This window comes from Homo sapiens, chromosome 4 (assembly GCF_000001405.40).
Source record: "Homo sapiens chromosome 4, GRCh38.p14 Primary Assembly".
Taxonomy (NCBI): domain Eukaryota; kingdom Metazoa; phylum Chordata; class Mammalia; order Primates; family Hominidae; genus Homo; species Homo sapiens.
In genome coordinates, this window is record NC_000004.12 from 57,472,224 (window position 1) to 57,498,858 (window position 26,635).

Here is a 26,635-nt window from a genome sequence, read left to right on the forward strand (position 1 = left end):
CTGCCTGTTCTTTCCTCTGGAAGCTTCGTCCCAGAGGGACACCTGCCAGATGCCAGCCAGAGCCCTCCTGTATGAGGTGTCTGTTGGCCCCTAATGGGAGGTGTCTCCCAGTCAGGATACATGGGGGTCAGGGACCCACTTGAGGAGGCGGTCTGACCCTAAGCAGAGCTCGAACACTGTGCTGGGAGGTCCGCTGCTCTCTTCAGAGCGGTCAGGCAGGGACGTTTAAGTCTGCTGAAGCTGCACCCACAGCTGCCCCTTCCCCCAGGTGCTCTGTTCCAGGGAGATGGGAGTTTTATCTATAAGTCCCTGACTGGGGCTGCTGCCTTTGTGTCAGAGATGCCCAGCCCAGAGAGGAGAAATCTGGCAGTCTGGCTATAGCAGCCTTGCTGAATTTCAGTGAGCTTTGCCGAGTTCGAGCTTCCTGGCTGCTTTGTTTATACTGTGAGTGTAAAACCACCTACTCAAGCTTCAGCAATGATGGATGCCCCTCCCCAACAAGCTCCAGTGTCAGGGTTGATCTCAGACTGCTGCTGTGCTGGCAGCGAGAATTTTAAGCCAGTGGATCTTAGTTTGCTGGGCTCTGTGGGGGTGGGAGTCGCTGAGCCAGATCACTTGGCTCTCTGGCTTCAGCACCCCTTTCCAGGGAAGTGGATGGTTCTGTCTTGCTGGTGATCCAGGCGCCATAGGGGTATGGAAAAACAAACAACAACAACAACAAAAACTCCTGCAGCTAGCTCAGTGTCTGCCCAAATGGCTGCCCAGTTTTGTGCTTGAAACCCAGGGCCCTGGTAGGGTAGGCACCAGAGGGAATCTCCTGGTCTGTGGGTTATGAAGGTCATGGGACAAGCTCAGTATCTGGGCCGGAGTGCACATGGTTCCTCAGGCTCAGTCCCTCACAGCTTCCCTTGGGTAGGGGAGAAAATTCCCTGACCCCTTGCTCTTCCCAGATGAGGTGACAGCCCACTCTGCTTTGGCTTGCCCTCCGTGGGCTGCACCCCCTGTCCAACCAGTCCCAGTGAGATGAACCAGGTACCTTACTTGGAAATGCAGAAATCATCTGCCTTCTGCATTGATCTCGCTGGGAGCTGCAGACCAGAGCTGTTTCTATTCAGCCACCTTGCCAGAAATTCTATTTTTTGTCTGTTCTCTTATTGCGCATTTAGTACAACCAGCTTGAAAAACTATTTGTTGTGTTTCTCTAGGAACCCCCTTTCCTCTACAAAACTCCTAAAGAATAGATAATTGTCTATATTTCTTCAAATCTTTGGCATCCCGGAAGTACCTTGAATAAATCATCAAGTTTTAGGGCTAAAGGAATCTCAGAAATCATCTAATCCCTTTCATTTGATGGATCAAGAAGTTGAAACCCAGAAAAAAATGAGTGTCTTCCTGGATCTCTCAGCTGCCAATTTGTTATCTGTTCAGGTATCCAGCAAGATGATTATTTTTGTGGTTGATGATGATGAATTAGATTTCCATGACTTTATTAGAGAAAAATCTTCCTGTTAATGTAGTCTAATGGGTGACATTATTCTTTGAGGATTCAAGGATGAGTCTGATTTATTCATACCCTTTTTGCTAATAACAAAAGGCTAAGTTAATGTACTTTGTTTTCCTCCCACGAGAAACCCCAGCAAATTCTACAAAATATTTGAGCCCCAGAATGAACTCATGCATTCAGTGTAATAGCAGCACTGGCTGTAGTAAGCATGTTTTTCTTTCTTCTTCTTCCCCTACCTTTTAAATTTTTTTGAGAACATAGCATAGGTAGACCAGCTCTCAGTTGGAGAATAAAGTAAGAAACAATTTTTTCTTCCTAAGCTATGCATGCCCTCAGTTTATACCACATGTCTTTATAGGCCACCCTCTTATTTTCTATTCTCCCATAAATAATGGTTAAGTCCTTGATAGTGCCTTCAAATGTGGAGTAAAGAATGCAAGCCATGCAGAATGCAAATTATTTGCTCAACTGGGGTACATGGGAATTTGGAGATGACAAATCCTTTACTAAGATCTCCATGCTTAAAATAGGTTGCAAACTCAATGCAGAGGTCTCATAGGTAATGCAAATGAGTAAAATCATCTCAGTTGACACTAGGAACCTGGACAGTGAAAGCCCTAATATGATGATAGCTCCTTCTCAAATCCAGTCATTTGTTGCTATGAGGGAATTTGTACAAATTGTACCCAGTTGTCTGATTTTCCATGCCAGTGCATAAATCTAGGTTTTTATGTGACGTGTATCAAATCTGAAATAATGAGCATAGATTTAAAGTTTTAAAACTCTATGCAGGCAAATAAATGAACAAAATACTCTTCAAGACTGGCCTGAAGTTCTGTTAGCTTGCAACTTCTTGTTTCAAACATTCTAGAAAATTTCTTCTAGTTATTAGATATGTAAACTAATCAATCTATTATCAATAGTTTGGAGGTATTTTGTGTGTGTCAAATATTATTTAGGATATTTAAGGGAACTTACAGAAATTAAAGGCATGTTTTGGTCTGCAAAAATCTTTCAGTCTAGTTGGATAACATGAAATCCCTTACGAAAACATAACTAAGAAGTTACAGCGTAAATGCAAAGTGAGGGAGCCTACAAGTTAAATGAAGTCTCTAGACCCCACCCTTTGAGGCCAAGTTATGCCTCACCTATGAGTTACATAATATGCTCTGCAAGCATGTACATCTCTCTGTAAGTCCATTCAGCTCATTATAGTACAATTAAGAATTAAGAACCTGCTTGAATCTTTTAAAATTCAAAACTTTGAGATCTGACTGTCACAATTTATATTTCGACTTCCCACCCTTAGCACAGTGACTGTACATGACAGTGTAAACTAAATGTTTGTTGAATGAATCAATAGCAAATTGAATTTTATAGGAGTAATTGATCATTACAAATGATTCATTAATTGGGAAGGAAATGGTGCAGATGGTAAAGAAAAACTTTGTAGAGAAAGTAACATTTTAAGTTGGACTTTGATGTGAGTGAATAGGATTCCATACATGGAGAACACTATGGAGAATATTTTAGATGGGCAACATTACCAATGAGGTTATAATGAGACTAAATAGACTGACTGATTTGGAATATGGAATTCCATTTTTATACCATAATTTTATTTGAATATGGTTTTGAGATGGTTCATATATTGCACCTCAATGTTATGTGTCCATACTTTTCAGAGTATTCCCATCTCAGTTGATTAGCACATTTAGTAATACACCCGTCATCCTCCAGGGAGATGAGGCTAAAGAGGTGGGGTTGTGTTTGTTGTAATGATAAATTTTTCCTTTATCCACTTCATTAATTGGGAGATGAATACTGAGCAAGGGGAAATGTTTTATTAGCTAGAAACAATTTTGAATTGCTTATTTCCCTCTTTATAGTGCTGATAAGGCATAATTTTTAGAGATGGCTAATATGAGAAGCTAATAGCTTTTAGGGATTGGGCTTTATTCTTTCAAGCATTTCCCTATTTTCTGGTTAATTGAATGTTCTCAAGAAGCCCTAGTGGGGAAATTTATCCCTCTGGGATGGATGGTGCCTCCTCTACATAACATGCCCAACAAGGAATTGGGTTGAGAGAACTAGAATTGAGCTTTCTACAATTTTCTGGGTGCCTTTGTAACATGGAAATCTTGTCCATAAAATTCTCTGTCCTTGAAATTTTCTTTACCTCTTCTCTGATATCACAGCCTTATTCTAGAAGCTTCTTGAAGTTCTTTATAGAGCAAAAGGATAGTTACATGTCAGAGCCCAGATCACTGTTAGCTGTAGGCTTTTTCTTGGAGACTATGACAATAATATTTTAAGAATTCAAAAAAGTAAAATTATCAGCAAGTTTAAAGGCTTATTTTTTTACTGTAATTTTATTTATTCATGTGTATTCCAAGTGATCAATCATTCTGCCAAGCATCTTGTACTAAATGTGCTAATGAACTAGTGAATCAAATATTTTGAAAGTATGGACATGTATAACATTGATTTTCAATATTTGAATCACATCAACAATCTTCTCAAGGAAAACAACTTTATAAGGATGGATTTCCATATACTTTATTAATAGTTGGCAGGCAGAACACTTGTGAGATTCATCACTAATTTATTTCCTTTAACTCTCCATCTCTTCAATTCTCTAAGTCTTTAGTGACAATATTAGTAATAATGGAATTGTAATATTCATTATCTACCGAGTGCTAATGAAGCCGTTCTTTAGGCTTACCTGAATTATTACCATGAGTAATGCACAGGTTTCTCAGGTTATTTTAAGAAATGGATCATTGATACTAGTTGAATGCTGGTAGAAAGCAAACAAACAACAACAAGAAGAAGCAACAGTGAAGGGAAGAATTAAATGGAGAAGAGGGGCAAGGCAATGCACTGTGATGCAGAAAATGTAGAAAGGATATGGAAAAATGAGGATTGAGTTTCAATATGCTCTAACTCTTAACTGGGTGAGCCCCTTAAACTCTCTGAGTCTCAGCTCCTTCATCTCTACACCAGGGACAACAATATCTTTGTATCTCTAACAGGAATGTGAACAATTAAGTGGATACAAATATCTGGAAAGCACCCAGCCCAGAGTAGCCCAAGATAATTTGGTTCTCTTTGTCTTTCCACTTCTCTTCATCCTCTGACCCTCTCTTTTTCTTTTCACTGCTCATTTCTTTCTAAAAATAAAGAGATAAATCTGACTTATATTTGTAGAAATGGATGTATTTGATGTGTCAAATAACACATGGTTTCAAAAGAATGACAATGTTAACTCGGTAGACTGACGAGAATAGGAAGTCAGTTTTGTCTGACACCCAAGCTTTCTTATTTTCTGTCATAGATGGAGAGAAAAATGACATTTGTGGAGTGCTTACTATGTACCAAGCACTGTGCTCATCTAATTTAAATCTCATAATAACTATATTAGTCCGTTTTCATGCTACTGTGAAGAAATACCCAAGACTGCATGTATTAGTCTGTTTTCATGCTGCTGATAAAGACGTACCTGAGACTGGGCAATTTACAAATGAAAGAGGCTTAATGGACTTACAGTTCCATGTGGCTGGGGAGGCCTCAGGATCATGGCAGATGACAAGGAGGAACAAGTCACGTCTTTCATGGATGGCAGCAGGAAAAAGAGAGCTTGTGCAAGGAAACTCCCCCTTTTAAAACCATCAGCTCTCATGAGACTTATTCACTATCACAAGAACAGCATGGGAAAGATCTGACCCCATGATTCAATTACCTCCCACTGGGTCTCTCCCACAACATATGGGAATTCAAGGTGAGATTTGGGTGGGGACAGAGCCAAATCATATCACAGGGTAATGTATTAATATTAAGGAAAGAGGATTAATTGACTCAGTTCAGCATGGGTGGGAAGGCCTCAGGAAAGTTACAATCATGGCAGAAGGAGAAGAAAACACGTCCCTCTTCACATTGCGGCAGCAAGGAGAAGTGCTGAGCAAAAGGGGGAATAGCCCCTTATAAAACCATCAGATCTCATGAGAACTCACTATCACTTGAGGGTAACTGTCACCATGATTAATTTACCACCCACTGGTAAATTAAACCACCCTTCCACAACACACAGGGATTATGGGAACTACAATTCAAGATGAGATTTGCATGGGAACACCAAGCCTAGCCATAATTAATAATTCTGTAAGGTATCAGTGTCTTCATTTTGCAGATGAGGAACTGAAGTGAAGAAAGGTTATTAACTTTCTGATTTTGCACAGGTAATGAATGCATCAACTGTTATTTAGACCATGTTGGCTATTACTACTAAATCATGCTGTCTGTCTCCGTGGCTCTTAGCTGGTGAGAGAAGTACATCTCAATCATCTGTGGAAGCATATGACTGGTTTGAAAAATTTCCCCCAGTAATCCCGATGGGCCCTTCTTTGGGTGGGAACCTTGACCTGGGATCCTTGAGAGTCTCTGCTGGCTCTCCTTTCCAGCCTGGGGAGGGGGAAATACTGACTCTCCTCAGTGATCATCAAAACAACCTGCAAATCTGAAGCAACATTATTTATTTTTTAATGGATTTCGAGTCCTTTGTGGATGTTTTCTGAGTAATGTTTACCAAAGCAAATGCATTAAAGAATTAAAACTTGAGTATAGTATCTTTAGGATCTATTTTAGAATAACAAAAAAAAAAATAAGAGAACAATGTTTACATCTTTTTTAAGGCAAGAGAAACCTTTTTCTTACAGTTTGGCAGAAGAGATGAGGAGGTAATCATGGGCACTGGTGCTGTTGTTTACTAGCTGAGGTGCCAAAGATACCAATCTGTCAAGAAAATGTGTAGGATGTTGATCAAGCCTGGAGCCTCTGACACTGAACAACCCGCTGGGGACTAAAGATGCCACTCCAGTGAGAGAGCACCTGCCTGATGGTGCACTGCATCTGTGAGGAGGAATTTCCATCCATCTTCCCACTGAAAAATAGGGCTTTTATTACAGCTGAGAAAAGGGCACGAGAAAATTGCCTTAATCTTCAAAACAGGAGATGCAACCTTAGTGTTACATACGTCAGAAACTCTTCTTGAAAGATCGTTTCATTTTGGACTTTGACAAACCAAAGCAACTGGCATTTTAAATACAATGAAAATAGTCACCTTTCACCCCAGCCACTCCTGAGTGTAGGTCTAAAAAGGCAGATATTTGAATAGGGCAAAGATATGGCTTCAGGCTTCCATGACCTGTATCTTCTCCTTTTTTTCTCCCTCATCAATGCTGTAAGTTGTCTCTAATATCATATATATTATATATATCATATATATTATATAATTATTATATGTTATTATATATTATAATATATAATATATAATATATATTATATATTATATATAATATATATTATATATTATATATTATATAATATATATTATATATTATATATAATATATATTATATATATAATATATAATATTATAATATATATTATATATAAAATATATATTATATATATAAAATATTATATTATATACATTATATATATAAAATATCATATATATATATAGCCACCTACTAATAGGTATATAATTGTTGGGTAATTACATTCTTTTGTTGATAGATACTAGACATTGGGAAAAAAAACTTGGACTTGGGCTGCTGTAAGGATACCAACTTCCCAGGAGCTCATGAATTGACATTTGCAGTGCACCTGGGGAGGTGTCACACCATGCCCAGAGCCTAGAGAAAATGACAGGGACATGAGCATCACCTGGAGACAAGATCTTCCTTGTGGGGTGAAGGTAATATTGTTTTAGACTTGTTCTTCCTCTCTACCCTATGTAAAAAGCAAAAATACTCTATTTGTTTTGCATATACGTTGTCATGGTGATAGAGGTGAAAATGCAAGATGAGCAGAGTTTGAGAAAATAAGGCAAAGGGTTTTTATCTCTCTACAACTTTGTCTGAAAGCACTCTTTTTTGTTGAGCTTAAGACATGGGATTACTTATGGCCATGTTGCTGGTAGGCATCTTAGGAACTGGACAGTAGGGAATGCTAATCATTGGTCTATGATTCCAGAACGGCTAAAGCTTCCAAGAACAGTGTCTGGGGTAGTCTCTGGAGCTTAAGAACACAGATAAGGCCGTTGCTTGTTGTCCGCTGGGTAGAACAGCTAGCAGTAATTAAACTCTTTACTTTTCAGTTAATTTCTTTGATATTAGGAGTTGTGTAATTATTCTCATTATTCTCCCCCGTTCCCACCTTCTCCACTGCCTTTTTCTGATGTTCTTAGGGAGGCACTATGATGATCACTTGGAAGGTTTGCTTCAAGAGTGCATCAAGTTTGTGTAAACTATTCCTCTACCTGCTCACTGCCTCTCCCCCTTCACCTGGTTAACTCCTATTCATGCTTTGGATCTCATTTCAAATGTCATTTCTCCAAGAAAGCCTTCTTGGACATCTCTTTTACCTGGCCCTGTATTTTTTCCTTGCTTATAATTGGTAATTATAACTTGTTTGAAAAATGCAATCTCCCCCTCAAGAATACAGGCTCCATGAGGGCAAAACTGCTCCTGTTTTGTGGACATTACATACAGTAAACCACCCAGCGCCTACAGCAGTGTCTGCCACATGGATTCTAGAAATATTGATGGAAGGAGTCAATGAAGTGCTGCATTACACCTATTGACCGGTGTTCACCAAATGCTTCACGGCAAGCCCTGTGTTGTGTTCTTGGCAATGTAGGGGATATAAAAGAAGTAGAAGCATGGATCATGTTCCCAAAGAGCTTACAACTGGTTGGGGAAAGACAGTTCTTCAGAACAGCAATCTTGTGATTTTTAAAAGTGCATTGATGTGTTAAGTACATTGCTTCAAAACTATTATTAATAGAATAATATTAACGTTTTGCCATAGAAGTGTAATAAGAGCAAAATTTACATCATATGTGTAGACACATTTCTATGGCTTACGGCTACATTTATTTTGTCATATTCTACTACCTTCTTTCTAGTTCTTATGAACATAACTATACGATCTTCTTCCTCTCTTGTTCTATCACCATCACTTCTTTGCATTTATTCTGGTCTTGTCTTAGTCCATTTGCGTTGTGTTAAAGGAATACTTGAGGTTGGATAATTTATAAAGAAAATAGTTTATTTGGCTCATGTATCTGCAGGTTGTTTGAGAAGCATGGCATCATCATCTGCTTCTGGTGAGGGCCTCAGGAATCTTCCATTCATGGTGTAGGGTGAAGGGGAGCATCACATAGTGAGAAAGGAAGGAAGACAGAGAGGGGAGGGAGGTGCTGCATTCTTTTCAACAATCAGTTCTTGTGAGAACCAATAGAGTGAGAGCTCACTCATTCCTGGGAAGACAGCACCAAGCCATTCATGAAGGATTCACTCCCATGACCCAAACACCTCTCACCAGGCCCACCTCCAACACTGGGGACTAAATTTCAATGTGGGACTTGAGGGGGCGGCAAACAAACCCTATCCAAACCACAGAAGGTCTCATTGTGCACTGCTGTGACTGGTGATTTGAAAAGTTGTTTGACAATATATACCATGATAAATCCAGACAGTTTAGAAAGACAACTATTTATAGGTAGAGGTCTCATTCTTATGTGGGATATAAAATAGTTGATCTAATAGAAGTAGAGAGTAGAACAGCAGTTACCAGAAGATGGGGAGAGGTTGGTCAATGGGTGAAAGTTACGCTTAGATAGGAGGAATAAGTTCTGGTATTCCATTGCACAGTAGGGTGACTATAGGCAACAATAATATATTGTGTACTTCAAAATAGCTAGAAGAGGTTGGGCGAGGTGGCTCATGCCTGTAATCCCAGAACTTTAGGAGGCTGAGTCGGGCAGATCACCTGAGGTCAGGAGTTCAAGACCAGCCTGGTCAACTTGGCGAAACCCTGTCTCTACTAAAAATACAAAAATTAGTCCAGCATAGTGGTGGGTGCCTGTAATCCCAGCTACTCAGGAGGCTGAAGCAGGAGAATTGGTTGAACCTGGGAGGCGGAGGTTGCAGTGAACTGAGATCACATGACTGCACTCCAGCCTGGGCAATAGAGCGAGACTCCATCTCAACAACAACAACAACAACAACAACAACAAATAGCTAGAAGAAAGAATTTTGAATATTCTCATCACAAACAAATGGCACATGTTTGAAGTGATGGATATGCCAGTTCCCCTAATTTGATCATTATACAATATATATGTGTATCAAAACATCATACTGCACTCCATAAAGAGTTATTATTTCAATGAAATAGAAAATAAAACTTATAAAATGCAGAAGGAAATAAATTAGAAATTTGTTAAAACCTTGAAAAAGAGATCGACTTTCTATGGTTTAAAATGAGAGAAGAAATGATAAGAAACAAACCTATGGATTTTAGTTGTGAAAATCTTTAGTTCCTTTATCAGCAAAGTGTTAAGTATAGCTGGCACAGAGTAAATATACCAAAATGTTATTTATTATTATTGTTTTATTATTGTGTTGTAACACTAGACAAACTTTTTAAAAACAGAAAATACAGCAAAGTATACAGTTAATAGTTTTTTCTTAATTTTAAAATATTAATGACAATAAAGATTGTATATATTCAAGGTGCTTAATGTGATAATTTGATATATGCATACACTGTGTAATGATTATCAAAATCAAATTAATATACATGTCCATACCACCCATGCTGTACATCAGATTCCTGAACTTTATCTTATAACTATGTTAGTGTCCTTTGACCAAAATCTCCCCATTTCCCCCAACCCTAAGCTCCTGGCAACCCATCGTTCCACTCTATGTTTCTGTAAGTTTGACTTTTTTAGGTTTCACATATAGGTGAGATCATACAGTATTCATTCTTCTGTGTCTGGCTTATTTCGCTTAGCATAATGTCCTACAGGTTCGTCTATGTAGTCACAAATGGCAGGATTTCCTGCTTTTTCATGACTGACTAATATTCATTGTATGCGTGTGTGTATGTGTGTATATATATATACGTATAATATGTACATCTGGCATTTTCTTGATCTAGTCATCTGTACATGGACAAGTAGACTGTTTCCTTACCTCGGCTATTGTAAACAATGCTGCAGTAAACATGGAGGTGTCAATATCTCTTTGAGCTACTGATTCCATTTCCTTTGGGTATATATCCAGAAGTGGGATTGCTAGAGTATATAGTAGTGCTACTTTTAAGTTTTTGAGGAATCTCCATACTGTTTTCCATTCTGCTGTATGATGTCAATAGTTTAAGAGTTCATGCTCTTCATAATTAGACAAAAGTCCCTATATACCTAATGTTCAAAAGAATAAATCCTAGAAAATATACATATAGAAAAAATATTCCATCTCCTTAGGTTCGTATATTAAGTTTAGTGAATAGGATCACACAAGTAATAAAACCATGTAAGTTGGAAAGGGATTTGATAGTATACATGAACAATAAACCATGCTAAGAAATCATCACCTAAAACATTGAAAACCCATGTGCTCAGAGAATTTCACCACAGCATTGTTTTTCATATTGGTGAAAAACCAGCATCCACTTACAATTTAACAACAGAGAAACAGTTAAAGTATTTTTTATTTATGTGCCCAATATCACAAAACTATGAAAAAGGTCAGGTACAGAATTTTAAGCAACAGTATATACAGATGAGATTAGCTTTGGAGGCAATGTGGCAGTATTTATCATAATTTCAAGTATCCCCTGACCCACTACTTTCACTTCCGGGTATCTGTTTAATATAGCATGTGCAAAAAGACACATGTACAACATACACACTGCTTGTAAGGGTGTTGATTTTAGAGCAAAAAGTAGAAATAACCTAAATATCGGGGTGTGGTTGAAATGAGTTTTGATTTTTAGTGTGATGGAATGTTATATAGGCAATCAAAAGAATGATGTTCCAGTGTGGAAAAATGTCCAAATTATACTGTTAAGTTTAAAAAATCAAACTGCTAAATAATATGTATGATATGACCTATTTTTATAAAAACAGGACAAGCTATATATGTGTCATTCAAACACATGGCTATGTATAAATCCATAGAATAAATTTGAGAACAACATGCACCAAGATGCTTCCAGATCTGGCCTCTGGGAAGGTAGAAGGTTTGGGAATGAGAGATGAGAAATGATGGAAATTTTCATTTGTTACTCGTTAGGCACTTCTGAATTTGTTTAAAACAAAGACTTAAAATAATGTATTTATTTCATAACATTAAAAGAATGTAAGAACAAAAACTTAAAAAAAAGCAATTATGGTTATTTTACTTCATGAGATTAAGGGCATTGTTTTTTCTTTTTGTTTTCCTTCACAACTTCTAGGAGGTTAGACTCTTTTCATCTTTAAAATTCAGAAATAAAGTTTTTATTAGGTACAACTTTTCCCCTTGGACAATGGCTTGCAACCTCAGTTTTATAACATGCAGTGGGAAGAGGATGGGAGGAGGACCTTGGTTATCCCAGCTGGGATTATAAAATTCCTCTCAACTGGAATAGTTTCAATTTACATAAGATGAAAGTTCACATAATTTTAAACATTCTTATCCTCTCCTTACTTTTTCTGGTTGGGGGCAGAGAGGTTGGGGTAGGGCAGTTGTCACATAACAAGCAATAGGGATTTTCAGTTCTCTAAAGGCTGGAGATCACTGCTTTAAGAACTAACCACCTAAGACAGATGACATGTGACACAGCTATAAAAAAAGACAAGTAGACAACTTTACAACTATTGAAAAAATGAAGTATTTACATTATGCATGAATAATATATCTTTGTGCACATCTCCTGGGTGAACTTGTCAAGTTTTCTCTCTCCCGTCTGCTTTGGTGTTTATTTTCAAACCATTTCCACCCTGGAAAATCTTTCTGTATTACTTTGGACCCTCTGGAAATGGCTATGACATACACTTTTCTCCTATCCAGTGTTTGTAAGGCTTCATTTCCCCATACTTTTCACTTTCTGATTTGTTAGTTTAATTTAAGCTAGATGCTGACTGAATAAGGATGATTCCATCTACCTTAATGTTCTTTGTGTCATCCTCACCACATTCTGGCATCTAATGATTAAATAATTTACCACCACTGCAGGAAATATTTTCTGAGACCTTACATATAAACTGGTTTAAACACCCTCCTCAGGAACACCCAAATGGTTGAAGTCACTCCTAACCATATTATTTTCAAAATAGCAGCAGCAACAACAACAAAAACAACACTGAGAAACAGTAATGGTTGTTTCAGGTAAAGAAATTAAGGGTGATTCTCTCCTCTCTTTTCACCACTATTAACACCATGTGGTTAGACTCCTACATGTTTAGAATTCAGAGGGAAAGATCCAGAAATAAAACAATCAGCAGTTATTTGCTTTAAAAATAATAGTTGCAGACCGGATCAACCCCAGAGCCTTTCTTCATGCCTTTCTTTTGTGTTGTAGAAACTGCCTTAGATTTGTGTGCTGCGTGTGTTTTCCCATGTTACTATTTCTCACACTGTGTGGAAATTCCAGCAAGGGTATTAATAATTCAACGTAAAGGAGGAACAATATTATGGTTGAAAATTAGCCTGAGAAAGGTGAATGTAACCTTTTTATACAAGAAAAATAATGGGTGAGAAGGAGCCAAATTAGCTGAACAAAGAGCTGCATAATGACGTGATACACAAATAGGAATGTCATATAAATTGGAAACTAGAGCGTGCGCTGAAGAAAAATGTGGAGACAATCACTTTTAAGTGTAAAATCAGAAGAGTTAAGGCAAGAAACAAGATGCTACCAGCAAGATATTAAAAAGCAATAATATTTCAGAGGCTTAATCTCTCCACGTCTCTTTTAAGCTCAGGTACATAGCAGGCTCCCAAAGGTGTCTGAGCCTAAGTAGGGTGTTCAGGATTGTTTTTCCTTGCCACCATGGTTGGTGTCAAAGGAAGTGGATGGTTCACTTGGAGAACCCATGTGCTGGAGACCCAGCCTTTGTTCTGATTCTGTTTGCTGTGGCAGCGAACTTGAACATTTGCAGCAGCACTAGTACCTAAAGCCAGGAGCCTGGCACCTCTCCCTGAAGCCTGAACCAGATCCTGGGCAGTGGTGTGCCTTTCAAATCTTATCCTTGGCTCCTGGGTGAGTAAAAATCCTGTCTTTTCCTAAAGGCCGACCTTGGCATAGAGCTCACCTCCTCCCTTTCTCCCAATTTTCCCTTGGGCTGGAGTGGGGTTATAGCATAGGTGAGTTTCATAGCTGGAATGTCAGGCTCAGCCATTGTTTTGCATTTTCCCATGGTAGACATTTCCTGTCTTACCCTCAAAAGTCCAGGTTTTATCTTTTTTCTTCTTTCTTTCTCTTTTTAAAAAATATGTCAGCAGAAAAGGATCTGATAACACTTAATGACTCTAAGGTAAAGTGCTGATAAGGTTTGAATTGTGACCCAACTTTCTGGTATGCTTGCAACTGGCTTGAAAGCAAAGTGGGCAAAGGATGTCTAACTGAGGCATTATAGCAGCTGGTGGTCTAGTGATTGCAAAACTCTTCACCCCAAATCACTGTTGTAAATAGAGATTTCCCCACTTACAAACCATAAGCCTGAAAAGTCTATATTTATTAAAATGAATTCATCAAGTGGTTTCCCCCATAATCATCTTATGAGTTGATATAATTTGAATCAAAAGCAAAGAAACTTAATATAGAATATGTAGTTTTATACTGGACAAAAGTATAATTTGTTTTAATAATATTGGCTCTTAATCCACAGTTTAAACATTAGCTCAAGACAACATGATTTCTCATCTGCAATACTACAGAGTCTCCTAATTATTCTGTTTACACATTTGCACCTCACTTTCTGCACCTCTACTCTTTATAAAGTAATAGGCTCAAAGCATAATTCATGTCACATCACTCCTCACTTAAAATCCTCCAATGGCTTCCCAGTCCAATTAAGATAAGACACAGGCTGGGTGCGGTGGCTCACGCCTGTAATCCCAGCACTGTGGGAGGCCAAGGCAGGCGGATCACCTGAGGTCAGGAGTTCGAGACCAGCCTGGCCAACATGGCAAAACCCTGTCTCTACTGAAAAATACAAAAATTAGCCGGGTGTGGTGGCATGCACCTGTAATCTCAGCTATCCAGGAGGCCGAGGCAGGGGAATCACTGGAACTCGGGAGGCAGAGGCTGCAGTGAGGCAAGATGGCGCCACTGCACTCCAACCTGGGCAACAGAGCAAGACTCCATCTCATATAAAAATAAAAATAAAAAAGATAAAACCCAAACTTCTTTTCAAGGCAGATCTGAGTGATTTGTCCACAGATTTCCTCACTGATTTAATTTTCTCTTATTCCCCACCTCATTCTCTGAATTATAGCAATGATTTTTCTTTTTTTTTTTTTTTGTTTTGCTTTTTTTTTTTTCTACGTTAAGGCCCTTGTTCCAGCTGTCCATTGTCCATTCTGCCTGGAATTCACTTCCCTGAGATCTTTATGTGACTGCCTTCTTTTTAGAACTTACGTTTCAGTGCCATGTCTTCTTCTCAGAGAGGTTGTTTCTGACCGAAGCCCCCTCAACCCTCACATTCCCCTGCTCACTCAATCTGATTGTTCGTTTTATGTTTCAGTTATTAGCTCTGTCTGAAATCATCTCATTCACTTGTTTATTTGTTGTCTCTTTCCACAAGACCATATGTTTCATGAGAACAGAGTCCTTGTCTTTGGTGCAATTCCAGAGTCTGGAACAATGTATGCCACTTAGTTGGTGCTTAGTAAATATTTGCTGAATATTTGAGGAAAAATAGTAGAAAGTATATCAGCTTAATTTGTACACCCATATAGTATTAGAGCAAGTCACCAGATATCATTTATAAGCAACTGGAAAAACACAGAGCAATGTCTGGAAGTAAGATGTTTTAGTACAATGTTTAGCCTAAAGAAAACAAAGGGGATTTATTTTGGACAGTCCAAAAGTGAATGCACTTAAATCATGGCTGGTTGGATTGGGTTTGTCATCAAGTAACAAAATGAACATCAGTCAAATTGGAGATTTTAGTATGTTTTGTTCTCTTCTATTAAAACAGCACTATTTTTAAATGACTTGGAGCTTGCAGTTCTGTTACAATGACTCGTCAAGTTGAAAAATGTGTTTCTTTAGGGTGGGAAAAGAATTTTAATTCATAATTCATTTATTGTAATGTTTATTAAAACAAAGACATACTCTCTTATACTCTTTTTCATGACATTATGCCTTTTGTCTCTTCTATGTATTATACTTTATATATGTGCACACATATAAATAAGAAATTACAAAATGCAGTTTATGTTAGCAGAAAGAGTTTTTTTTTTTAATATGTCCTTGTGTAGAGTGGAACATGCTCTATTTCATTATAATTTGGCTTGCCATTTTAAGGCATAGAGAGAGTATGAACACAAAGAACATATACTTTTCTGCCTCTCTATTTATGGCTCCAAACAAGAATTTCATTGAGTTCACATTTGAAAATATAACTTAAACAAAGCAGGGACCAAAGATCACAGAGATCTCTGAATTAATTGGATTACTCAGTTTCATACAAACCCAATAAAACAACAGATCCCCTGTAGGGTAGAAGGTATAATCTATGCATTTACCTCTGTGTACTACCCTTCTTACTAAGGTTCTATTACCCTACTGCAATCATTAAGCCTGTGTACAAACCACCAAGCTAAACAAAGAGGCTATTTTTACAGAAGGGGATGAGAGGCAAGGCAAAACATTTTTTAAAATAAAAAATAATTTTTCCTCAAAGCCCAGAACAGTAGCAGAAGGCTTTAAGAACATAAACATAACCAATCTGTCTATTCCAGGGGATAAAGGCTATGTTTCTTAAACATAAAAGAACAAAATTTCTAAGTAGCAAGCAAGTTGGAAGCATTTGCATAATGGATTCTATTTACATAAATTACGTTGCTTATAGCAGTCATCTGATAAGACTTGGCAAAGGTGGAGGCAGAAGTTGAAGTGGAATGAAAAGGGTGAGTGTGTAGTTCTAGGATTCCTTTTAGCCCTTTGTGGACTTTCTCCATTCTTTGAAGTCTGTGTTTATTTAGGGGTTAACGTGTGCATTTGCCCCAAACTTTATAACCATGAGTGTCAAGAAGAATTAGATTTGGTCATTGCTACACGCTCCCCCTACCCTGTTTTGTTCTCTTTTATGAAGGTAAAAATGAGTGCATCTGTCAACTACTGGAGCATGTTAACTCATGTATGTTGGGATTTGACAGCCACTGGCTGTGAATTTTCTCACCATAACAACCAAATGAAAATGTCAGAAATGAATCTTTTTGCTAAGTGCCAGATTTTCTTTCTCATATGCACCATTTCCCTATGACCAAATACAAAGTTTTAGTGTTTTACATAGCTCCAGCCAAGAGCTTATTTCTAATGGTATAACATGATAGCTGACAATGCACAGTCTCTACAAGAATGGGTAAGTACTAGGTATTTTAGGTAGAACTTTAAGTGTGTCTTTATTGGAATCTCAAGTTCAAGAAAGACAGTGTGGCCTCATAGATATCTGGATACAGAGAACTTATGTGTCTAAGTGGGCTATTCTTTAAGAATTTTTGCCTTTCTACTCCAGTTCTCCAGAACCAGTGAGGCTTCATCTGAGGGAAAGAGGTGAATGTTGGAAGGAGCCAGCTGTTCACATCCTGCTTTTTCCCTACTAATTCAAGGTCTTTGATCTGATGAGAATTTGGCATAGCAGGACTTATTTACTCCTGAAGTTCTAGCTTTCTGGAATTTCATAAGCATTGACAAACTACTTCATCCACAGCGAGACTGGGTTTTGCAAATGTGTAAACCTTTGGCCGTGCTTATGGGACTCATTAGGAATGTTTTTGGCTGCAGCTAACAGCTTATCCAACTAAAGGTGTCTTAAGCAAATAAGAATTTATTTTTGTACATAACAAAAAGTTTAGGATTGTACAGTTCTGGCATTTTTTGGCTCCTTAGTGGTGTCACAAGAAACTTAGGTTTTTTTTTTTTCCCTTCTTTTTCCACTCTAACATGCTTAATGTGGTGGCTTTACTTCCCATGCTCATTGCTTCATGATTGCAAGATGGCTGTGACGGCATCATATATGGAGATTTCATTTGATGCAGAAAGAAGGGAAAGTGGGAAAAATGAGCCAGGCCAGGTTTTTTATCAGGAAAAAAAAAATTTATCCCACCTCACCCCACCCCAAATTGTCCCCGCCCTTGCTCTCAGCCACTTTTCTCTCAAGGTTTTTGGTTGTTTTGCTTAGGTTTTGTTGGCCAGAATTGTATAAAATGATCTCTCCTATCTGCAAGTGAGGCTGAAGACATGAGTATTTGGCTTTTACAGGCATCCAATGAAGGGAAGCCAAGGGAAAAATGTACCAAGTGAGTCAAGCAATAAGGTTGCCACATGACCAAGGAATTATAATGCTCAGGATAGATTAACATTATCTTGCATTCAAAGTCAGGAATTGTTCTTCTGAGTAGTTCAGGGCCAGTCTGACTTTTCCCTAATTCCTACTTGCCTCTTAGGAAGAGTGTACACTGATCCTCTGTTTCTTTCTCAGAAGGACGGCTGAAGTTCTTGAAAGATTACTTTCTTCAGGAAGCTGCAATGTGATTCTAAACACACTTTAACAAAGAATATATGGGATGCAGTTTTTAGTAGAAAAAAGGAAATGTTGCTTTCAGTATTTAAAGTTTTGGTGTCACAATGTTGGAGTCAGTTTAGATTTCGGAGAATTTTTGTCTGTCTGTAAACTGCCTTAAGTTATTAACTTATCAACACAACTCCCGATCGTTTCTCCTCCCTCCTGCAGAATGCATATCCAAAACCTTAGGGTATAAACTCTTGAAAACATTTATTCAGCCCCCTCATCTAAGTTTCACCCTATGGCATATTGCATCATTCCTAGTAGAATCTTCCCAACTTGTGCAACAAAGAGAAAGCAATGCATCTTGTAGTGAAAAGACAAATACTTCTCGCTCTTCCTTGGCATGAAGCAGGAGGCTGCCAAGTAAAAGTACCTGGCAGGATTCCCAGAGACAGGGCTTGGGCCACGGGTTGGGCAGAGGAGAAGTTGCTGTCTCATTATTTCATTGTCATGTGGTTGCTGGGCACACTAGCTGACATGAAGAATCAAAGTAAAAATTACCACTGTCAGAGAAGTGATACTAATGGCGGTGAGTCTGTTCAGTCCTTCCCTGTTTTCCAGGGACAGCCGCCTCAATTTAGTGGACCTGTTTCCAGCTTCATTAAACCCCTAGGAAGATGACTGGAATATGCTTCCTGAATTGGTGATGCTGGGTGATTTGTTGTAATAATGGTTTCAGGGCAAGATGAATTAATCACTGTCACTTGAAGGAAGAAGAAGAAAGTGTATTCAAAAGCATCACCATATAATGCCAGCAGGGGGGAAAGAAAGACTGAATGCCAGAAAAACAAGATACTCTTTTAGCCCTTTTAAAAGAGAAAGCATGACAAACATACACCTCAGGGAACCCTAACACAAAAATATCAGAGAAGTGAATAATTCACTCATCATGATGTTTGTCAATAGGAAGTCAATTCTTGCACCATTAGTGTTTGTGTTTGTTAGTCTTCTCCTTGTATTTGTTAGTCTTCTCCTTGTGTTTGTTATTGCCCTCTCCTCATTTCTCTCTTTCAATCTTTCTTTTTATTAGGACTACTGATTGTTTGGGGACATCCGAAATCACTCAGGATTGTGGTGACCAGTTGAACAGAGATATGCCAAAAGCAGGCAGTGATTTATATCCCTGCAGGTGAGATCTGGGTGCTGTCGAAAGGTTTGTTATATCCTCTGATATTCTTTCACATGACCCTACCAGCAGATGTGAGCACACATTCTTGCCTTGGTGTGTCACTCTGTACTCAAGTGTTATCATATCATACAGGGACATTAAAAGAAGAGTTTGATTATACTCTGAGCAACTTTTCTTATTGTGTATGCACATGTGTATACGCTTGTGATTCTATGTGTATAATTACCCCATTGACAGCAACAACAAAAACCTTAAAATGTGTGAGTATATAGGATCATAAGACAAAGAGTGAAAAAAATGGAATCAGAATGAAGAGAAAAAGGAAGTAGAAAAATAAAGCCCTAGAAAATGGTAGTATATATAATAAATGATCTGAAATATAAATTGTTCACTTGAGGTAGGCTGCAAATTTGGCTCTGAGCTTTCTAGCAGCCAAATAAAAGAGATAAACTTGATATTATTGTCAATTCTCTGTAAGGGAAACAAAACAATTGCTGAAAAGAAGCAAAAAACTCTGTCTCATTTTGAAATCTGAGATAATTTTTTCCTATTCCAAAAAGTTTCATTTCATAGGTGCTCTATGTTAAAAAATGTGCTACTGATATAGAAAGTAGGTAGTGCTACAAAAAACAAACAAACAACAAACACATCAATCCAGATTTATCCCTTTCTTTGAAATGTTAAATTGTTATCAATTGGATGGTTACTTAGGGCTCTGGACAGTGAAATAAACGTCACTGAAAGGAGAGCTTCCCATCAATACTTACATGTTTTCATATCAGATGGGTAATGTGCTTATATTGTAACATGGTTTGAGGGAGGCACATCTCACACATGAGCATAAAAACCCAATCATTACATTTTATACATTACAAAAGAATGTTCCCACCAATACTTTCAAGAAAGATTAGATGGCATAAATACTGTCAGTATGTTTTTATTTTTAGAGAATAAGGATGATTCAGAAGCTGAGCTGAGTCATTGAAAAACATTGAAAGAGAACACATGAGAGCCGAAGAGAATCTAGCAATCTGAATGTCCTCCACTCTCTAAAAGACGTTCAGATGACCCCCAGAGAGTTGCCACTGGTTGTGCTGTGTCCACTCAGTCACCAGTCAGAACCTGCAGCCAGCAGCACCTGCTTACTACAAGGTGGTTGACCATGGTCTGTGGACAAGAGGTTAGCTGATAACTGTTGCTATAATTGGTCCTCCTGCACTTAAGAGTTCAGGCATGTCTACAGCATTTGGCCCATAAAGGACAATGCGTAATTCTGTCACTGGGAATACCTCCCAGGATTTGAGTGAACTACCAGTGTCTATCACTCTTTGGCAATTCATACTTATTTTCTTTGTTGGAGGAATACAGCGATCTTTCCGTGTTTTCTGATGTGAAACTTTTGGCTGAATGTTTGGATCTTCTCCCATGTTTAGCATCGTCACAACTTAGTAGATCAGTTAAACATACTGCTAAATAGCAAAGACTAGAAGGTACTAAGGCCTTAAAAAAACTTGGACTTTAATTGTTTGAAATAAAGTGAGTAGGAATGACCCATAAAATGGGCAGAGTTCAAGAGACAAGACAACAAGTCAAATGGGTAGAACCATATGCATGTGTGTATATATACATGCATGTATATAATGTATTCGTCTGTTCTCACACTGCAGTGAAGAACTGCCAAGACTGGGTAATTTATAAAGAAAAGAGGTTTGATTGAATCAGTTCCGCATGGCTGGGGAGGCCTCAGGAAGCTAACAATCATGGCGGAAGGCACCTCTTCACAGGGCGGCAGGAAAGAAAATGAACGCAGAGGAAACTACCAAATCCTTATAAAACCATCAGATCTCATGAGAAATCACTCACTATCATGAGAACAGCATGGGGGTAACCGCTGTCATGATTCAATTACCTCCACCTGGTCTCTCCCTTGACATGTGGGGATTTGGGAATTATTATTCATGATGAGATTTTGAATGTGGACAGAGCCAAACCATAGCATATACATACCATTCTACATATACACTCATATATGTGGAATATATGTAATCTTTTAAAATTACTAGAATTTCACCTCAAAACAGGCCAAGCTATACAAACATTTAGATTTAGTGAGGAAAAATAAATACATAAATAAATAAATAAACAAACTAGAAACACTTTTAGACCACAACCACTAGACATGAAGCAGTCAATCAGCAAATAAAATAATTAAATGAAAAAGCTATTACAGAAGGCACATACTTCATCTCTATGCCCAAGCCATGGTAAAGACAAATGTTTCAGGCACAAACTTAGAAAAATAAGAGAAGCATTAGAAGACCAATGGACCACTGATGTTTTACATCATCTCTTTTTACTGCTGAAAGAATAAACACAAACAAGCCTGTGTGGGTCTTTGGAGACAATTTGGCCATCCTAACAGGTAGAATATTTTCTTTATGGATGTGAAAGCAACCATGCATGCTTTGTAAAAACTGTAAGAAAATGTGTAAAGCCTGGTATTGAAGAGAAGAGATAAAATGGCAAAATGATGAAATGGAACCAGCCATTACAAAATGTCCATTTCTGGCTCAGATGCATTTTTCTCACCATTTCCTTTCCAAAATTGTCCCCTTTCCCCAATTTTCTCTTGATTTCATGCATCAGAGTTAGAAATCAATAGATATTGCTTTATAAAACATTCCTTTGTTGTGTGAGTACAAAACAAGAGAAATAAGGGGATTGGACCAATTGGGGGTTAAACCAGGGTGATGTTGGATAGTGCATGGTGATTTGGTTCTTTAAAGCATGTTGTATAGGGAAAGTTTACAAGATTAATTACTGGGACATTATAGCAAGCAGATAATTTTGGGGAGGATTTTATTATGTTATGTACATGTGACAATATTCTAAGATGGATCAGCAGTAGCTATTTGTTACTTGGTAAACTATTGAAGTTTAAGAATCAAATATTTTCAGCTGGCAATGTTTATCAAAAGATGTTCACATTGTATAAAAGGAGGCAGAACACTAATGATTAATATCAAACACTATTTTTTTTTTTTTTTTTTTTTTTTTGCAGAAGGAGTCTCGCCCTGTCACCAGGCTGGAGTGCGATGGTGCAATCTCTGCTCACTGCAACTTCCACCTCCCGGGTTCAAATTTCTCCTGCCTCAGCCTCCTAAGTGGCTGGGACTACAGGTGCCTGCCGCCATGCCTGGCTAATTTTTTGTATTTTAGTAGAGATGGGGTTTAGGCTGGTCTCGAACTCCTGAGCTCAGGCAATCTGCCCTCCTGAGCTCAGGCAATCTGCCTGCCTGGGCCTCCCAAAGTGCTAGGATTACAGGCATGAGCCACCGCCCTCAGCCACTATCTTATTTTTTAGCCTATCTGAATTAAAAACATAAAGTCTTCTCTATGTATGTTGATGATAAACTTTGGGTTTCAAGGAAAAGAGTCACTCAGGCAACTTCCAAGAATGGGAGGGGAGAAGGGGTTGTTATAGGATACAGTGGAAATAAATCTGGGAGGAATCTCAATCATGTTCCAAGAGCTTGCAGGGGCCCAGAGAAATTCTCACAATGAGGCCTCACAGGAAAAGCAAGAACACCGACAGCAGGAAAGCTTGGAGGCTAAGAGTTCCCTTGGAAGTTGAACTACTGCCTGAGAATATTAAAACAAAAACAGAAACACGTAAATAGCCAGCCCTGAAACGAGCCTCTCAACTTCTGATAGGTTATATTTACATTTATGTACTTTCCTATCACAGTTTATAATCAAGCTAAGGCTAGTAGCCTTGAATATTTTTAGGGCTGCAATTTGTACATCATCTAAGCTAACAGATGAAAAGTGCAAGTGTAGTTGCCTAAGCACAGGTACATTCGTTCAACAACAAATCTTTACCTGAATGTCCATTGTATGTCCGACGCTGTCCTGTATCCTGGGGTGGCAGCCTGGGGACCTGAGAGGACTTTGAGTGGAGCTAAAGAAACAGAAAATAACTTCAACTAATAAATGTCTTTTAATATCTCTTGCAATGGAAATTTTCAGTGGCTTAATTTTTTTACTTGTCTACTTCGAAGGTGAAGTTACTCACAGGCAGGTTTCTTAGTTTACAGACTTAGCTTTTCTTCCACTCCCAGCGTATTATCATTTATCAACTATTGTCATTGAATGTCCTTACACCAGGCATGGTAGATGGCTTTTCAGCTTCCAGGCATCATGTTGTGTCTTTTTATTCTTCAATGGTATTGCTTTAAATTGTAGGCATCCTTGTAATGGGTTTTCTTCTTTTTCTGACCCATAAAAAATTTCTGATAATATTTGTTGAACTCTGATCCCATTAAATTAAAATTTTAGTTATTAAAAGACAAGGTGTCACTTTTCTCAATCTTAGAAACAGATGAGGTCAGCTGCACTCCCTGCCCTCAGAGGCATATGTTAATCAAAGTAGTACAAAGTTAGATTTTTAAGCCACTTCCAATGGACAACTGGTTTAATTTGAGCAGTCATCAAACTGATTGTCATGTACTTGATCATAAGCATTTCTGAATAAAGTTCAGTGCTGGGTAAGATAATGGCTAAAATAACTAGAGCTTTCTATAAATCTCAGACACTATGCTAGGCACTGAGGGAGTAAAGATGAATTTAACACAATTTTTTTAAAAAGTAAGTCTCCTCACAGAGCTTTAGATATATTTTTGATATCAAATAGTTTGAAGGACTAATAAGTGGCCAAGAGTTTGATTTTGAGAAGTAATACAGTATTAAAAGCTCTTCCTAGTGAGATATAATAATTTGTGGGATACTGATTGTGGAGTAAATATAAGGGCTTGAAGAAGAAAGAGAGCTATATGGTTGGGTCACACAATGAAGGCTGTATGTGATAATTATTCCCTCCTACCAGACCCTGGCATTAAAAAAATCACATGAAAAGCCTAAACCAACAAGCAACAATTGAAATGAATATTTGAAGCTACTATACTTTGTAGAAACCTCACATTTACTAATGCTCAATTGGAAGCTAACAAGAAAAAAAAATGTTAGGCAACTGAATTATCTTTACAGGTTAATGAGACTGCCAGAAAGCAACAGAGAAAGTACTTTCAAGAGGGGAATTATTTAACATAATGACATTTCTTTTCATGCAAACCAAATTAATTTCTGGAAATAAGTTAGAAAATACTTACCCCTCCCCACCTTACAGGTTTTTAAACTAAATCACATTAGATCTAGAAAACCACTAAATAGTCCCCCTGCTTATCTTCAGGAGTCTTTAAAATGAAAATGTGGGTGAATGGAGTAGTAAGACTGATGACACCAACAAAGATAGCTCGAAAGTCTATCCATATCAAGGACCAAGCATAAGGTCTGCACTGTCAGTAATTAGCATTCATACTGGGAAAGAAATTACATATTAATATACCGTGTGTTCTTCTATTAGGTGGCTCATTTTTTAACAGTGACATGCCTGTGGACAGAAATGTAATTCTTCACAGAGATTTAAAAAGTTGGGACTACATGCAATTCACCACATTAATCATGTGTTAGATCAAATAAATGCCAATTGTGGGCTTTTTGTATTCATCAAGAGTTGAGCAGCAGTAACACATTCTGTTCTAAAACTGCAAAAGAATAAAATCTGAACTAAAAAAAAGGGGGGGAAAAACCCAAGAACCTAAGAGAAGGATTTTTTTTCCTATTTATTTCTCAAATTCATCTTCTTTTTCCATAATTGAGGTAAAACTTCAGACTAATCTTAGAGTCATCCATCTGGCTAATATGAGTGGTTTGTTGCTATTAATTACTGTAGGAGAGAGGATAAATCAAAATGTATAACAACCATAGGAAATAATTTTAAGAATTTACTGCTATTTAATCAGGGTTGAAAGACATTTTTATGTGAGTGAAACTCTTTTGCTTCAGTGTTGTATAATGCCTGGCAGCAGGAGAGAGGGAGACACCCTTTGTTTCTGATTATATAACACATTCCAATAGAAGCTTATGGTGCACTAAGAGTGTATAAGGCTAATGACCTTTAAATTTTGCAATGCATTTTCAGAGAATTAGAATGTATAAGGGCATAGAACTTCTTACAGTTTATTCTTTAAAAGATAGCAACATTGGAAACAGATTTTAAAGCACTATTCATGAATCTACATTGTGGTATTGTTTAAAATAACATGATGTGAAGCATGAACTGCATTCATACGTGAAAATGAAATCTGAATGCATTCTGTTAATGGAAGGCAAAAGTCAATTGTCATTTAGGTCACTGTGTGACAGTAGGAAATCATTTTAATGAAGGCAGCCCTGTTCAAAACAGTTTGGATTTCAGCATAAAAAAGAATATGAGTTCCCAAACAGGATTTCACTGGAGGCAAATACTATCAAGAGAGCAACTTAAGTGTACAGTAAAATCTCCCACCAGCAAAAAGTTGAATAAGCTTGAATCAACAAAATAGATGGTTTTAAGTATTTTATTCTCCATATTTTTGATGACTATAAAAGTAGTACCCAGCTGCTTGCACTGTGTGAATTTTGGGGGCAGAATTATGCCCATTGCAACCCTTAACCATAGTTAAACACTACGCTCCATTTAATTAAAATTATGCCCAAAGATAAACAATGAAGAACATTGAATCTTCACTGGAGAAAACAAGGGCTGAAGTGTATTAATTAAGCCATTATCAGCAAGTTTCTCCTCCTCTTCGCCTTCTTTTCCCAAATCAGAATCCTTTCTTCAGTTCTCAATTCTGCTTTTCCTCTTCCGTTCTTCAGAATTAGCTATCAGACTATTAAGAAATAAAATCCTTCCAGTTAAAGGTGCTCTTGTGGAAGATTTAATGGTAATCAGGACTTCAGGTTCCCACATTTCCAGTCTTGCTTAAAAGACAGCACATTTTGGCAAGGAGCTAAGAAAGTACAGTCCTTAGTTCAATCTGCATTTATTCAAGGCCGTGCTGTATGCCCTTGGGCAATCAAAGAGTCTCGGAATGTTTGCCAAGTGTCATGTTGTTGAGCTTGCTGCTGCCATCTTCTCTCACCCAGGAAGGCTGAGGAGGAAGATGCCGACCCCAGGGAAATCAAGTCAAGTTTATTCAGCGTTCAGTCTCAGGCTATTGGTTAAAGAGACAATGGGAGTTCTGGATACAGAGGCTCTTCATTTCTCATCTCTCCCATCTTTCCACTTAGTAGAGAAGGGCAATTGAATCAATGTGGTGAGATTTATTAATGCATGAAAATAAAAAAAGTTCATCATATGCCTGTGTATCAAAATGTTGTAATTCTTTCCTATTACATACATTCTGTAGAAACGTGTGTTTTTTGTTTGAGAATAGTGAAGAAAAAATTATCCAAACTATAGTATAATGTAATATGCAAAATC

At 37.8% G+C, this 26,635-nt stretch overlaps 1 non-coding gene across 1 annotated transcript, besides 1 other annotated feature; it reads right to left on the reverse strand.

The window, feature by feature from the left end:
- Positions 313 to 813: an enhancer, noted in NCBI's record as "H3K27ac hESC enhancer chr4:58338702-58339202 (GRCh37/hg19 assembly coordinates)". NCBI's record gives its function as "activates a minimal SCP1, AML or CMV promoter by ChIP-STARR-seq in primed H9 embryonic stem cells {active_cell/tissue: H9 hESC(primed)}" and the evidence as "EXISTENCE:reporter gene assay evidence [ECO:0000049][PMID:30033119]".
- Positions 20,046 to 20,150, reverse strand: LOC124900904 (small nucleolar RNA U13). The gene has a single exon (XR_007058546.1). It is a non-coding gene; the product is annotated as a small nucleolar RNA U13 (small nucleolar RNA).
- Positions 20,151 to 26,635: the final 6,485 nt, after the last annotated feature.